The following is a 17,214-nucleotide window of genomic DNA, read 5'->3' as shown; positions in this document are numbered from 1 at the left end:
TTCATGTTGCTATGAAGAACATGATTTCATTCTTTTTTATGGCTGCGTAGTATTCCATGGCATATATGTACCACATTTTCTTTATCCAATCTACCGTTGATGACTGATAATTTTTTAAACGTTGATTTGTTCCTCAGCATTCTCATCATTTCTTCCAAATTTGTGCCATCTGAAACTCAATGTGCATTCTGTCTATATCTCTTTCTTGTTATTAATAAAAATGCAGAAGAAAACAGAAGCAATCACAGAGCTCAGAAGTATGGAGCTAGACAACTTGATTCAATTTGATGCCCTCTTGCTGCCTGTCTAATATCTATGGGTTTTTCTGATTCCTCTTTACTGGCCATCTGTGGTTTGGTGCATGTGGCCATTCTCTATACACTGGTTTTGATTTAATAGATGAAATATCATTATTGTGTTTAGACCTGTTCTAATTAGAGCTTCACTTAATTTGGTGGTTGGATAATAGAAAAGCCATCAGATGAGAAATCAAACTTCCTGAATTCTAGTCCTGGTTTTATAATTATCTGTATCATGTCATCTCTTGAACTCTCAAGTTCCTCACCTGGAAAAATAGAATAACACCTGCCCTACTTTAGGCGTTAGAGGATTGGTATCAGATTCCAGTGAAATGTGTATGTAGAGCCTCTATTGGCTCTAAGGAACAAATAAATGTTGACTATCCATGGTAGATTTTTCCCAGGTATTTTAAGATTCACATCTTTTGGCCTATTCTGAGGCCAAATGGTTTTAGTACCAACCAGAAGATGCTTAAAGCACCTACCTCTTTGAGGGTAGACTAGTCTGTCATCATTTCTTTGTTTCAGGACTCTTTTGTGGATCGGTATAGTACAAATACATTTTGTAAAAACTAAAGTAGTTAAAATACAGCTGCTCAAAAAATTCAGAGCTGACCTAAAATTATAAATCATTGACCTAGAGTATGTAGATTAAGTTTAGTTTCTTTAACCCAATATACTTAAGAAGGTAAGTCTGCTTCAGATCTTCTAAGCAAAACTGAAGACATATTTTAGAACATACCTCTCTATTAGCTGAGTAATCAATATATGGAATAAATACATTCTTAAAGCTTCCCGTAATGTGATTTTCTGAATACTTAAGGTTATTTTCCTACTGCTTTCTATTATAATATGTAATATATAGTCTTATGGAAGTTGTATGTTAAACCATCACACTGTAAATAAGCTTGCTGAGTCATTTATCCATGCAGGATAGAGTCTAGGCTTCCTAAATTGTGTGGTGCTGCAGGTACACACCAGGAAGACTTACAGGGCGTTAGGGTAGAGAAGGAAGGTGAAGCGAGAACTTGCACTTATTGGACACATCTACATGTCAGATCTTATGTGCTATTTAAATTCTCATTTAATTCTGACAACAATTCTGAGGTAGCCCAAATATAGCAGCTGAGAGGAGAGTATATATAACAGTTGGAAATGCCAATGTACTCAAAATCAGCTTCCTAAATTTTGAACCACTTCTGCTAATTCTATTTGTAGAAAATAGCATTGAATTTTTTTGAAAATTAAGATTAAAAAAAAAATCCTGCTTAGTGTTCAGGCGAAGGTAGTCACCTGGATAGTATACCAAGCTCATACCATCTGGTAGTTAATATTACTTTCTGTGGAGTTGTCATTATCATCCCAGTTTTTCAGATGAGGAAACTGAAGCCCAGAATGCTAAATACTTGTTCCACGTCATACAACTGGTCTGTATTGAAGATGAGATTCAAAGCTGTGTTGGACTTCTGAGTGATTATATTTTCACTCTGCTCTGAAAATGCTGAACTAGGAGACTGAGATTATCTTCTCTGCTCTTGGATACTAATATATGACCTTGTCAGTCACATAACTTCTCTAAATTCCAAGTTCCTTCACCATAGTAGGAGTATAATTTTAGCATGGATCAGATAAATACTCCTTTTCAGTCTTTGGAAAATCATGAAGTGCTATATAAATGTAAAGTAGTATTTTAAAAAAAAAGCCCTCTGAATCAAGAGTATATGTTAAATTCCTTATCTGATTTAGGATGTTTAGAATCCAACAGTGCTATCCAATAGGACATTCTGTGATGGTGGTGTGTTCTATATCTGCACTGTCCATTACAGTAGCCACTTGTCTGAAGTGGCTATTGAGCACTTGATGTGTAGCTACTGTGACCGAGGAACTAAAGTTTTAACTTCCCTGAGTTTTTAACTAATTTAAGTTTAAATTAAATTGCTACATATTGCTAGCGATTACTGTCTTGGACAGCGCAGAATGCTAGATGGTTTCACACAAACATATGGATTCTGAGCAATTAGATCATTGTCCTCTATTCCGTGCATGTCAATCATCCCTGCTGCTAGCGCTGGTAAACTGAAATGGGTGTTTAGTGTTCCCTTTGTCCTGATGTCTCCAAGCCATTTTAGATTTGTCAATTTAGTTTTCAGGAAACAGGATATTTTTTAATTTTCCTGACTCCAGGTGGACTTAATGAATACATCAATTAATTAATATTTGTTGAATGAATGCACGTAGTAGGTAGTTAGTACATGTTGTTACCCTCATCTCTGTTTGGGCCTTTCTTATCCTTATAAAATGGGAGCCATTGCAGGCTTACACTGAGGTTTAAAGGTGTCCAGTAAAACCTCAGCAAAGCCTCTGGCACAGCAGATCCTGTGTTAATGTGTGTTTCCCTTTTTCTTATCCTTGAGAGAAATTGTTGCTGGTAAAGAAAACAGCATTATATTCATGTAACTAGTCTGTGTGTCTAAGAGTCCATCACAGTTGGATCTTTTTGCCAGTTGTCATTCATTTCTTTGGTTCACACTTTGTAAGTTTAGCTCATCAGTTGGGATGATCTTTCATTGTGCAACTTAGTTTGCCGTTTGTCTTTGTGATTCTTAAAAATATCAAATGAGAAGGAATATTCTCTTCCCTCCACAGTGCTATCTTCCCCTACCCAATAAGTAACTCATATAAAAATATATTTAAGTGGGGGAAATCTTAATTTCTGTAAATATAAAGAGCCCAACTGCTTTCACATTTCTAAAGACCATATGATTTTTAAAAAATACATTTTATAGTTAACTGGAAGAGGCGGCTACCTTTCCCCCCCTCATCCTCTCAGTGTTTGGGAAGTTGTGAATCAGCAGAGGTATAAATCTCCAGAAAAAACTTATATTCGGAAGTGGCTCTAGACATTCTTAGCTTTGTGACTCAGGAGGACATTTTTCTTCAGCATTATAGTTTTAACCACTTACTTTCTGCAAATGAAAAAGAGAAAACTGTACTAACTGAAGTGCAAACATACTTTTAAAAAGGGCGTCTTTGACCTTCAGTCCAAATAGGCTGTCCTTAATAATTTATGGAAATTCTTGTTCCATTGATATAGAAGGTAATGCTTTGATTGTATCCGGCTGACTAAAGAACAGTACATCTGCTTTATTCTAACTGATGTTTGGGAAGAGAACAAATTTTTCAGAGAACCTGAAGTCCTTAGGGCTAATTTTGCCTTTGATCTTATCACTTTGCTTTTTCTTTTTAACTCAAGGTTACTCTTAAATTCAGGTCCTCCTTTTTCCTTAGAAAGACCCTGTAATAATTTTCAAAGTGAGAGCATAAGTAATTTTTCAAAAGTTCATCATTATGAGAGCAACTTTAAAACGTTATGAAAGAAAATTAAAAATATTTTTTTCATATTTCCTCCACCCTGACAAAGCAATTTTTATTTTAGTTCAGGCATTATTAACACAATTGAGCACAGCAATAAATTAGTCACTCCGTTTTAAATTAGTTTTTTAGTGAAGAGAAAAAAAGGAGAAGTTATAGTAGTAAGCCACAATAGTTCTTTTCACAAAGAGAATCTTTAAGAATAGATTAGCATTGGCCAGGCGCGGTGTCTCACGCCTGTAATCCCAGCACTTTGGGAGGCCAAGGCGGGTGGATCACGAGGTCAGGAGTTCGAGACCAGCCTGGCCAACACAGTGAAACCCTGTCTCTACTAAAAATACAAAAAGTAACCGGGCGTGGTGGCAGGTGCCTGTAATCCCAGCCACTTGGAAGGCTGAGGCAAGAGAATCGCTTGAACCCGGGAGGCGGAAGTTGCAGTGAGCAGAGATCGCGCCATTGCACTCCAGCCTGGATGACAAAGCAAGACTCCGTCTCAAAAAAACAAAACAAAAAAAGAATAGATTAGAATTAGATTAGAATACCTACAATTAGGAATCTAAAAGTTGCCATCACATAAGATTATTTTAGGTCGGGTGTGGTGGATCACGCTTGCAATCCCAGCACTTCGGGAGGCCGAGGCAGACAAATCACTTGAGGTCAAGAGATCAAGACCAGCCTGGTCAACATGGTGAAACCCCATCTCTGCTAAAAATACAAAAATTAGTCAGGCAGGGTAGCATGGCATGTGCCTATAATCCCAGCTACTGGGGAGGCTGAGACAGGAGAATCACTTGAACCCGGGAGGCGGAGGTTGCAATGAGCTGAGATCGCACCACTGCACTCCAGCCTGGGTGACAGTGGGGGACTCTTGTCTCAAAAAAAAAAAAAAAAAGATTATTTTAACACACAAGCTTGCTGGAAGTTTTAATGAGTCATTATGATCTATGAGTATAAAGGAGAGAACATTAGAATAGATATCAGGAGAAGTGGATTTTTGTCTGAGCTCTAAAGTATTACGATGCAAAGGATTCTATTTTGTACCTTTCTTTAGAAATATATATGTGGACTTTTGTATATGGATATAATAGTGCAAGGGGCCTCTTGTCATGCTCTTGGGATTGTGCTATAGTATTGCTAATGTTGTTCCTATCCACCTACATGTTCTCTTACGTGTTTTTCATTGAAGCCAAGGGCAGGCATTTCTCTTTCCTTCGGGGGATGAGGTGTACTAAGTGTGAGCATGTTAACTTTGATCCCTCTGGCTTATCAACTGAATGAATGATATAGCAAGTGCGATTGCCACAGAGTTTGTACCCAATAATGGCCCCAAAGGGTTACACATGGCTGCTCCTTGACCCAGTAAAAGGCAGTTATAAAAATTCATCAGGCAATTGGAAGCTGTTAAAAGTCATTTCTCAATGAGTCATTTGTCACTGTTAACAAGATGAGTTAGGGACAAGTGAAAAATGTTTGTTATTTTTACAGCAACTACATTTTTTTTTTTTTTTTGAGATGGAGTCTCGCTCTGTCACCCAGGCTGGAGTGCAGTGGCATGATCTCGGCTCACTGCAACCTCTGCCTCCCGGGTTCAAGCAATTCTCTGCCTCAGCCTCTCAAGTAGCTGAGGTTACAGAGGCCTGCCACCACACCTGGATAATTTTTTTTGGCATTTTTAGTAGACAAGGAGTTTCACTATCTTGGCCAGGCTGGTCTTGAACCCCTGACCTCGTGATCCACCTGCCTTGGCCTCCCAAAGTGCTGGGAATACAGGCGTAAGCCACTGCGCCCGGCCTACAGCAACTAAATTTTAACAGATGAGCAAAAAGTTGTCATTCAGCACTTGAGAACAGCGGTTGTGTTATTTCAAAGCTAACAATTCTTGCTTCCTTTAGGAGTGCTTATGAATGCCTATCATTCAAATATCTTTCTAGTTACAGTTCCCCAAAGCTTATGTGGAAAACCAACCTTTGCTATTTATGTGCAGCTGGAAAATGGAGGATGTAAGAGTAGAGCCCAGAGAAGTCTTGCCTGGATTTTGTTCTTTGCACAAGTTCTTTAACCTTTCTGGGCATCACTTTCTTCATCTGTAAAATGAAGCAGTTTTTAGATAATCCCTTAAGATCACTTCTGCTCTAAATTTCTGTAACTTATGAAACCAATGGCCTTAAGAAAGTGGTAAAATCTCAATGTCTTCCTGTTGATCTTGAAATCAGGGGAAAGGGCATTTGTTTGTAATATACTTTAATCAAAAAATAATATCTCTAAACTACTGAATTGTAATATACTTGTTCTAGGCTTTGTGATACATAAATTACACGCTCCTCATTCCTGCCTGATATGCATATTAAATTCACCTTAATTAGCAATTTAGTTTAAAAGCTTTTATTAGATAATTGCTCACAGTTTCAAGTCCTTATCTATGGGAAGGCTATTGACCTGTTTTCTATTGGAAATAAATCTTGTATATAAGCTTTTGGTAATGATGAGATTCCGAGTCTATAGACATGTAGTATTCTAAAGAAGGTACAACCCTTTTCTTCCTCCCAACACCACTCTTACCACATGAATAAATATATTCTTCCAGTTTAATACTCTAGAAATCTTGTTTTATTTTCTTTAAAAGGTATTGGATTGAAGTTTCTGAGGAAGCCACTGGTTGTATGCTGTGGTGCTATAACAGTTATTTGTTACATTTAGTTCCGTGGTGAATGGATAAGAGATAATTCCACTATATTTAAAAAGGTAGTTTATTTGCCAGGTTTTATGTGTTTGTACAATTATGAAGGGGTTTTCAGCATTGAGATAATGCATCCAACAGTTAAAATTATTATAGACAGCTTTGTCATATCTATAGTTGTACATAAGCCAAGATCCCCTTGGAGATGGCCAGACAGCCAGACACTACCATGTTGGCTGAACAAACGTTTTGTGCTTTCTCCGAAATGGCTGGTTACTAGGAAATATTGAGACTGCTCTATCACTTGCAAGATAAACTGTGGCGGGAGAGTTATCAGGTTAATAAACAAAGGTCTCAGATACAGGCCCTGAGATGAAAGGTTAAGAGGCAGGACTTACGTAGCAAGTTTACTTGGTTATAACACTCAGGTCTGTTAAAGAAAACCATTCTTGTGTAGTATTTAAGATCACAGGTTATGCTAAGTGCTGTGCCCTGGAGGACAATACCTTTTATTGATTAGCATTTATTTTGACCTTGAATAAGCAGATCATGTATGTGGGCAATTCTAGACCATGTCATCATTGGTAAATGAAATTGTGATTTTCATAAGTACTTCATTAGTTCTTCCTCCCAAAGCCCTAAACCTTCCTCGGTCAAGTTTCATATGCTATCTTAGTTTCTGTGTGGGGAACGAAAACCTTCCTAAATATTGAGAAATTTTTAAAAAACTTCTAACAGAAATCTGTCCTACTTTAGCAGAAATCCCTATTGTCTCTCTTAAGAGCTTAAGGATCTACAACACTATAACATTATTTTTTATTTTTGGTGGAGGGCGTCTCCTCATCCCCTACCTTGATTTTTTAAAAAAGGGTGATAACTTTTGAAATGATATCTATGTCTCTAAATAGTTAAGAAGTTGCCTCCCATTCAGGTATTTCCCCCCATCTCTGAGAACTGGGAATTGGCTGCTCTGGCTGCTAGATTGGAACTGGCAATTTCTACATTTCTTCTTAATCTTCCACTGCAGTGTATCAAGGATGCACACAGTATTACTAAGACCAACATTCAACCTTTGTAACTGCAAACATAAGGACAATTTATACATCTGCTAATTGCGGTTTCCTTTTGTCAACACACCTATCAGTGTGTATCCATTGTAGAAGCCAGATAGAACAACAGCCCCAGTTTTGCATAATGAATTTCTTGTTAATTAAAAAAAGACCTAATTTGATTAACACAAATTTATTACATTCCAGAGTTTCAGGAACCTAATTTTTGCAAAAAGCTAGGTATAAGGAATAGTTTTGGGCATTAAGCTGTCTATTGTTCAGAGTTTAATTAGTGGTCAACCATGTTTTGAACATCTGCTCTTTCTGTGTGGTCTAAAGGAGGCAGATGCTATCCCAGATTGGCAGATGAGGAGTCAGATACAAACATGTCAGGTGATCTGTTTGAGCTCACCAAATATTGATGGTATTGTGCTCCTTTCCTTTCCCCAGCCTCCCTTGCAGTTAGGTTGAAACCATATGAACGGTTTTCATTAGGCTGGTGAAATGTGAGCAGAAGTACCATGTGTGTTGCTTTTGTGCTAGGACATCTAAAACCTCTAGTTCCTTCTCTATTTCTTTTTTCCAAGAGTTCTATATGGCATAGGTATGAAATAAGAGAAGGTGATATGGGACAGAAATACATTTTTACTAGGCTAAGCTACTGATATTTGGGGCTTGCTGTTGCAGCAGCTAGCATTAATTACGCTGACTAATATAAAAGGTGATATTCCTAATGTTATAAAGTTATGGCAGAAGCTGGGGCCATTATCTAGAACAGAGAATCACAAAGCTGACTTAGAATCAGAATCACTGGGGGAGCTTTAAGAAAATTCACATTTCTGGGACCCACGTAAGATTTACTAAATGAAAATTTGAGGGTAGGGCCTATGAATCAATATTTTTGTCAAGTTCCCCAAATGATTCTAAATCATTTCCTTCTATTCTAAACTCATGTTCTTTAACATCAAAGTCTCTTTATTTTCTGGGAAGGTGAAATGGAAGGCTAAAAGAATCAGAGGCTTGGAAGCTAAAACAGGGATTGGCAAACTATGACCCCAAGAGCCAAATATAGCCTGTAGTCTGTGTTAGTAAATAAAGTTTTACTGGAGTACAGCCACATCCATTTGTTTACACAAATGGTGTAACATTTTTGCCTGTGGCTGCTTTCACTACAATGGTGGCAGAGTTGAGTAGTTGTAGCAGCAGTCGTACTATCCTGGCTCTTACAGAAAAAGTTTTCAGACTCCTGTTTCTGTGCTTGAGAAAAGGCATGACTTGATTCGACCCCACCCATAACTGGGAGACTCAAATTCTTCACGCTTTTGACAGGTGTAAGAAGTTCCTGTCATGGGAAGTGATTTAACTTTAGAATCAGCTGCGTATTATAGTATTACCCTGATCTGTGGAAGAGTTTAAAGTCATACAGACTCCCTTAGTGTCTTGTAACCTGTCAACCTACCAGAAGCACAACCACAGTAAGATGATTGTTTCAATGGATTCTAAAAAAGTTGGATGATGTTTACAATGAAAAAAATTACAGTTTCCAAATATATCTGGATTCTTGCAGTTCTTTTTTACTACAAATGAAAATAGGAAACAGGTTAATATTTAATGGTAATTAAGTCACATTCAGGTATACATTTTCTTTAAAATCTATCTTTAATTCATGCTCAATTTATATAAAGTGCTTGGCACATTCCAAAAATTTAAAAATAATCTATATTTAAATATATATGTACATTTAAATATATATCTTTAAACACACAAATTTAAATATAAATTTTAAAGCTGTCAGGACCAGAAAATTCAAATTTGAAGTGCAATTCTGGGGGATGGCTATTTAAACCAGCTCCAAATGCATATCTAAGCTGAAGGTTTTTTTTAGCTTAGTGCATCATCACTGTATACAGCCCTTCCCTCCTTTCCCCTTCTATCACCCCAGTAAAATACTCTTTGAAGGACTACCAGTCAGAAACCTAGTGAATCATAAAGAGAAACTGAATACTCTTGCTTTTTAGTAAACAAGAGGGGAAGAAAAGAGGAGTAACCCTATGTTTGGATCACAAAGAGCCTCATCTGGTTATGCTTGAGGCCCTCAGATGAAATTTGGATAAGCTCCACTGTAGAGCAAATGCTGAGGTCAGAATGGAATATCATAGTTGAAGAGCTGCAGGAGTTTCCATGAATGTGGTTCTTTCTCACTTTGAAGGACAAAGTTATCTATAAGCTCTGCTCCCTCACTAGTTTAATTTATATAACTTGTTAGAGCTAGAGAAGAAAGAAAAACCAAAGCAAAATGTACAATTTCATTATAATCCCTAATGGAAATAATTGGTAACATGTGTACCTAATTTTGGTTCTTCACTCTTATATTCACTTGTCACTGGCTAATTGAGAGTGGCAGTCCCAATTAAACAGTCCTTGGTAGCATGTAATGGCTAACTGTGAGCAGGTTAGAAGCCTTCTTTGTCTTTGAAACTTTGAAAATGTCTCTTAACTCTCCAGGGCATGTCTGCTTGGGGTTGAAGTCATAACCTGGTATCAGATGATTTAAATTCAAGAAGGTCCTTTAATATTATGGTTCAAATAAATGAATTTGCACCTCATGTCATATGTTTAGCAGGTGACTGAGACCATGTGCTCTTTATCCCACTTAGTGGAGAATTATAATGTGTAAAGGATTTAAATAAGGCTATAACCAGCCTTGCAGCTAGGGGCAAAAAGTATTGTGGTAAATGTCGCAGGCTAGAATAAGAAGTATGGTTATTTGGGCCATTGCAGTGACTTCTGATTTAATTCATGTAATTTCTTCTTAAAGGAATTCATGCTTCTCTTCTCTCTACTTGTAACTCCACGGCTTTATTCCCAAAAAGTCATTGATTTATGTGGTTACTATTACCAAATGACTGGGCAAAATAATATGTCTCTTGAAATGCTCTGGCTAATGGGGTCCATGAAAACGATTATGAAAGTCTAATATGGATGAATGGACATGTTATCTGCTGTAACAATCTCTGTGATATCCCCAAGACAGTTTTCTAAGCATTGTGGAAGCTAAAAGATAGAAGATACTGGCTAGGGTTTTATCCACAACTCTCATTAATAGAAATAGGAATTGTGTGGATGAGAACCATAGTCCCCCTTGGTAAGCGTTATGCACCAAGCAACACTTTTCAGATGATTTTCCATTTCCCTTTCCTTTATCTCAGAACCAAATGAAAATTTTATGAAAGTCATCATTTCACTTTGAAATCACTTATGGTTAAAGATGGACCTGGATAATTGGGAAAATTAGCATAGTCCATTTCAGGATGCATATCCGAATTTCTTTTCCATCTTTATCAACATCTTTCCTTTTGACTCAGTATGAGAACAGTATCCAGGGAGGTGAGTCACCAGGTCTGGCAGATTATTTAGCGAGATTCTGTACATCTCTTCTGTTTTTGACTTCAACTTCCACTTTGTCTCCTTTGGCTTTCTCAGCCTCATTTGCTATACACATACGGCAGAATAAAAGTGACACATTTCCTCAAAGGATCAGAGGAATTAGAATTAAGAATCATAGGACAGTTTTCTACCATTATTCTTAATTTTTGAAATTACTTTTGGGTCTGTAGACCTGAAAGGAAACATAGAAGATCGATCTATCAATCTATTAGTTGTACTACAGGTTCTGTTGTGAATAATGGTGACCTCAAAATATCACTGGCTTATACAAGACATATATTTATTTTTCTCTCATATAAAGGCATAGAAATAGAGGCTGAAATGATGGCTTCCCAGTCTTCCAGAACAAGTTGCTTCCAACTTTCCATTTTACCAAGGTTGGTGAACTAGGTACATGACCCTTATCCTCATGGATGGGTCATTAGCCCTTACATCCAAATTCTATGCAGCAGGACAGGGAGATGGGGAAGAAGGACACGTGTCCTACCTTTAAGAACACATCTCAGAAGTTATACACATCATGTCTGCTTACATCCTATTGGTCAGAGCTTAATTAAATGGCCATATTATAGCAGAGGAGGCTGGGAGATATCTTTTGTTTTGGCAGTCACATACCCAGCTAAATTGTGGGGCTCTTGGAGAAAGTGGAAAACAAATAGAGACATCCAATAATCTCTACCATGGTTGATCCAGGAGGAAAACTAGATATCTATGTGTATCTTCTTCCCACACTTAAAATACACTCACCCCTTTCCTGGGGAGACAACTCAAAATCCCATCTAGTTATCGCAATGACCTTTAATTCCAGGATCTCTGGGTGATGCTTGGTCTCTTCTACTGGGTCAGAGTAGAGCTCCTTTCAGGTCTATAATTTTCTGGCCCCATCTCATCCAATACGCTTCAGTGGAGTTGTAACATAATAACTGCTGCAAAAACTCCCATTTGGGAAAAGGCACCGAAATACTTACCAATAATTGAGCTGTAGCAGTTTTCAGATCGTTGAACCAGAATTGAGAAGAAGCCTGGTCCTGGTGAAGAAGTAAATTCTCGGGCTTGGTGCATCTGGAAGCTCTTGGCTCTATGCTGGGAGAAGCTGTCTTCTTCCATTATCCTCTCTGATCACATCTGAAGCAGGCCTTGGACATTTTGCCTTCTTTCTCAGCCTCCTTTCTGGAAGTGGAGGATCTGGGTTTCCGGGTTCGTTTTAGGGCTTGAGTGATCACAATCTTTATCAGGACAGGCTTGTGGTTTCTCTGACAATGCAATTCCCTCCCCAAATTAGTAAGTATCTGGTCTATTTGTTTCTGGTTGGTACTCATTTGAGCAAGCAAAACCTAAGGACTCATTTCCACATGGTTTTTTAAAACTAAAGACTCTTGTTTTCACTTTTTGACCCCTGTGCTCTGTTTACCATTCTGCCTACCTGTATGAGTTTTCTGGGGCTGCCGTAAGAAAGGATCACAGACTTGGCTCAGACAACACAAATTTATTTCCTCATAGTTCTGGAGGCTGGAAGTCCAAGATCAAGGTGTCAGCAGGGTTTATTTCTGCTGAGACCTCTTTCCTTCCTTGTAGATGGCCATTTTCTTCCTGTGTCTTCATACTGTCCTCCCTCTGCGTGTATCTGTGTCCTAATCTCCTCTTCTTATAAAAACATCAGTCATGTTGGACTAGAGCCTGCCCTAATGACCTTGTTTTCACTTAATTACCTTTTTGAAGATTCTGTCTCCAAATTCAGTCACATTCTGAGATATAGGGGTTAGGACATCAACATGAATTTTGGGAGAACACAATTCAACCCATAACACCACTCCTTCTGGTTATCTAGAAAATAGGCTTAGATGGGAAGGCAACACCTTGAATATGATTTTTGCTGCTAGACTGGTTCCCATTGTCTGGTAGAAAACTCCCCTATGATGAAGGCTGAAAATAGGATTTATTGCCTGCTAAGTCTACCATTCTCTTTACACAGGGTTCAGGGTGAGTACAGACAGGACCAGTTAGCATTGCTATTCTTAAAAGGCCCCAAATTTAATAGGCTTGTCTAACAACTTAGATTGAAAACCCTGGGCAAGAGTGTATCCACCATTTCTGCAACTGGTTAGCTCTGGCTGGAGCTAATTTTTTTCATAATTCTTTAAGTGCAAGGCAAGAATGAAAACTTGAGTCTGTGCTCATGGGTTGCAATTCTAAAGCTTGGTCCAAATAAACTGTCTACTTATATTTAAAAACAACAAAACAAACAAACAAAACATGTTTGAGAGCCGGTTAGGCAATGTTGGGTGAGAACCAACATTTTGAATTTTTAAACCATGCAGCTTAGAGCTATAGGTTGGGTTGGCTGGATCGAACAGGAAACAATTTTATCAAATGTGCTATCTCATAATATGGGGCTTCAGCTGGCTGGCCTGCAGCGTCTGTATGCTTGCTGCTTGATCTCACGCTTTTTAGCCAGTGTTACACATTCAATCTGTTTGGCTATGACTAGCAGAGATTCAAAATAACAGTGGCTTAAACAAGATAGAAGTTTTCTTTCTCTCTCACTTTGAAGTCACGATGTAGGCCATTCAGAGCTGATAATGGCAGTGCCATACTACATATATTTGGGATCCAGGCTGCTTCCAACTTTCCTCTTCACCATGTCTAGGGTATGGTTTTTACTGGCATGGTTCCAACTGGTATCCCAGCCAACACATCCATATTTCAAACAGCAGGATGGATAAAGGGGGAGAAGGAGCAGACCTTCTTCCTTTAAGGACGCATATCAGAAGTTGTACCTACAAGTTCTGCTTACATCCTATTGATCACAACTTGGTCACAATGGGAGGGAGGGAGCCTGGGAAATATGATTTATTTGGGGTTGATAAATTTTGGAGATTCTTATCATCATGGAAGAAGGGAGACTAGATATTGGAGGATAACAAGAGTCTTTCCTACAAGTAGAAAAATTTGCTTCCTCTAATTCTGCTGCCTAAAACTTTTGCACACTTTCCTTAGCTATAGAACACTAGCTATTGGCCAGGCGCAGTGGCTCACGCCTGTAATCACAGCACTTTGGGAGGCTGAGGCAGGCGGATCACGAAGTCAAGAGATCGAGACTATTCTGGCCAACATGGTGAAACCCCGTCTCTACTAAAAATACAAAAAGTAGCTGGGTGTGTGGCACGTGCCTGTAGTCCCAGCTGCTCAGAAGGCTGAGGCAGGAGAATTGCTTGAACCCGGGAAGTGGAGGTTGCAGTGAGCCGAGATTGAGCTACTGCCCTCCAGAGCCTAGGCAACAGAGCAAGACTCTGTCTAAAAAACAAACAAACAAACAAACAAACAAACAAACAAAAATACCACTAGCTATTGATGTTCACTATGTGGCTGTTAAGGAATAGGCAGAGTCTGAAGTAGTTCTGAACTCTTTAAAAATCAAATTATATTCAGCATTATCCTAGGGTATATTTTGTGGTGTTTTAAATCCAGCAAATTAATATTTAATGTATAATAATAACAAACAAAAATAAATATTAGCTATTAAGTGCTTATAATTTACAAGGTACTATGCTAAGCACTTTATGTACATTTTTTCACTTAAACTTCACAAGAATCCTGAAAATGGGTCTTATTAGTACCATTTTACAGATCAAGACACTAAAGATCAGAGAGATTAAGTAATTTGCTCAAGATCACATAGCTCTTAAGTGATGGAGCTGATATTTGCTACTGGTCTGACTGGTTCTAAAGCTTGTTATATCTACCATCTGTGTATGTTGAGAGCAGTGGTTCTCAACTAGGAGAAATTTTGCTTCCCGGGGGTATTTGACAATGTCTGGAGACATTTTTGACTGCTACAACTAGGGGGATGCTACTGGAGTCAAGTGGGTAGAGGCCAGGGAGACTGCTAAACAGCCCACAGTGCACAGGATGACTCCTCTAAATAAAGAATTATCTGGCCCAAAGCATCATTGGTGTCAAAGTTGAGAAACACAGAAGTTAGGCCTTACTACTTAGAATATTGGTACATGCCTTGGCCCTCACTAAATTATAGCAGGTGATTTGTATCCATTTAGATTGCTAATCTCTGGAAATAGGGAACTTCTGTTCTTGTGTTAAAGCAGTACATTTTTATTAGTGAATAAGGATTAGTTCTTTGTTTTAGACTGGAGCTGATTTATGTTTTGTGAAAAAAGAGTAAGATTTTGAAGGTGTGGGAGCAGGGAAATTTACAGAGAGATATATAAAACATTTGAAAATCAATTATTTTATATATTGTTGTACTTAAACACTTTTTATTTTCTTGAGACAGGGTCTTGCTCTGCCTCCTAGGCTGGAGTGCAGTGTCATGATCATGGCTCACGGCAGCCTTAATCTTCGGGGCTCAAGCGATCCTCCCACTTTAGCCTCCTGAGTACCTGGGATCACAAACATGTGAATAAAACTTTCATCTTGATAGGGTTTGGATATTGGTCCACTCTAAATCTCATGTTGAAATGTAATCCCCAGTACTGGAGGTGGGGCCTGGTGGGAGGTATTTGGATTATGAGGATTATGAAGATGGATCCCTCATCAATGGCTTAGCACCGTCCCCTTGGTGATGAGTGAGTTCATATTAGATATGTGCATGGTACCTCCTCACTCTCTCTCTTACTCCCTCTCTTGCCATGTGATGCACCTGCTGCTTCTTCACCTTCTGCCATGGCTGTAAGCTTCCTGAGGCCTTCACCAAAGCAGATACCACTCAGCTTTTGGTGCAGCCTGCCGAACCATAAGCCAATTAAACCTTTTTCTTTATCAATTACCCAGTCTGGGGTATTCCTTTATAGTAATGCAAGAATGGCTTAATACACATCTCAATTAAAAAAATGAGATAAATGATTAATCCACCATCTTTTTTTGAGAAGAGACATGGCTGTGCATAATAGATATATTCAGAACATGAGCCAACATTTGATACTACTCTTAGACTTTTGGTTGTATGGATTTTAAGTACTGGAACTACTTTGACACCAACAAGATCAACTTTTCTTTAAACAGGCATTTTCTAAGAACTTAAAGTGAACATATCTTGTCTTAGGCAACTTAAGGAAGTTATGGTTTATGGGGGTGAAATGATAAACAAACCAGTAGTCCTGACATGAGGGGATTGAGGAATTCAGTGGTGATTCATTGATGATAGAGTGGGATACAGAGGCAGGGATGGGATTCTATGGGTTCATAGGGGAGAAAACTTCTGTCTCCATGGAGGAGGTGGAGTAGGCAGTGAAGGTGAGATTTTAGTCAATCCTTAAAGACGATCAGGGTCTGCATGGCAGGCAATAAGAAGATGGGGAGGTTGGAAAGGGAGGGAAAAGCCCAGGCTACTTAGAACAACTGCACAGTTTTTGCTGAAAATTCAACCTATATGCTGAAACAGGTCTGCTTCTCCCCAGAGGAGGTGGTACCTTTTTCTTTGGACAAAATTTCCTTCCACTTTCTGGTTCGGTCCTCTAGGACTATGATATGGTTTGGCTCTGTGTCCCCACCCAAATCTCACCTTGAATTGTAATAATCCCCACGTCTCGTGGGAGGGAACCAGTGGGAGGTAATTGAATCATGGGTACGTGTTTTTCTGTTCTCGTGATAGTGAATAAGTCTCACAAGATCTGATGGTTTTATGAAAGGGCAGTTCCTGTGCACACTCTCTCTTGCCTGCTGCAATGTAAGACATGTCTTGCTTCCCCTTCACCTTCCACCATGATTGTGAGGCCTCCCCAGGCATGTGGAACTGTGAGTCAATTAAACCTCTTTTCTTTATAAATGACCCAGTCTTGGGTATGTCTTTATCAGCAGCATGAGAACAGACTAATAGAGACTGTATTTTTCTAGAGATGGGGGACTACTAAATATTTGCACTATTTTTTTTATAGCCACAAAAAGGACTTGGTTCTGACATTCTAGATATTGAATACATCTCTTGCAAAGCCATGGAAAAGTGAACTGGGATGACATAGCTTTTATGGCATGAAATGAAGCTTATGGAGTTGCTGGCACACTTTATTACCTCTGTTTCAGGAAAAGCCCTGGTGTCTCTGTGGAAGATTGATGGGTTGATGCTGGGGGAGATGAGATTGGAGTCAGGGGTTCATTGTCATGTCATTCTGGAGCAAATTTAAGTTAGCATAAGTGTAATAAAGCCATAATTAGCTTTAATCCTTTGAAACTAACATTAATGGGGAGATCATCTGCTATAAACATTTTACTGGCAGCAGGATATGAATCATAAATAATCCAAGTTTGGAGGGAACAGCCACCTTATCCAAATACCCTTTTGGCACAAAAAATCAATAAAGTGACACATGCATCTCTTTTAAAGGTTATATAGAGGGCTCTTTCGAAGACAGGTTAC

General features: G+C 38.6%; 2 annotated features.

Annotated features, from left to right (window-relative positions):
• Positions 6,615–6,815: a silencer, noted in NCBI's record as "peak1878 fragment used in MPRA reporter construct". NCBI's record gives its function as "represses an SCP1 promoter by STARR-seq MPRAs in K562 erythroleukemia cells {active_cell/tissue: K562}" and the evidence as "EXISTENCE:reporter gene assay evidence [ECO:0000049][PMID:32103011]".
• Positions 8,595–8,795: a silencer, noted in NCBI's record as "peak1877 fragment used in MPRA reporter construct". NCBI's record gives its function as "represses an SCP1 promoter by STARR-seq MPRAs in K562 erythroleukemia cells {active_cell/tissue: K562}" and the evidence as "EXISTENCE:reporter gene assay evidence [ECO:0000049][PMID:32103011]".

Source organism: Homo sapiens, chromosome 12, assembly GCF_000001405.40.
Source record: "Homo sapiens chromosome 12, GRCh38.p14 Primary Assembly".
In the NCBI taxonomy this organism is placed as follows: domain Eukaryota; kingdom Metazoa; phylum Chordata; class Mammalia; order Primates; family Hominidae; genus Homo; species Homo sapiens.
Note: the sequence above shows the minus strand (reverse complement) of the source record. Positions and strands in the feature narration are given on the sequence as shown.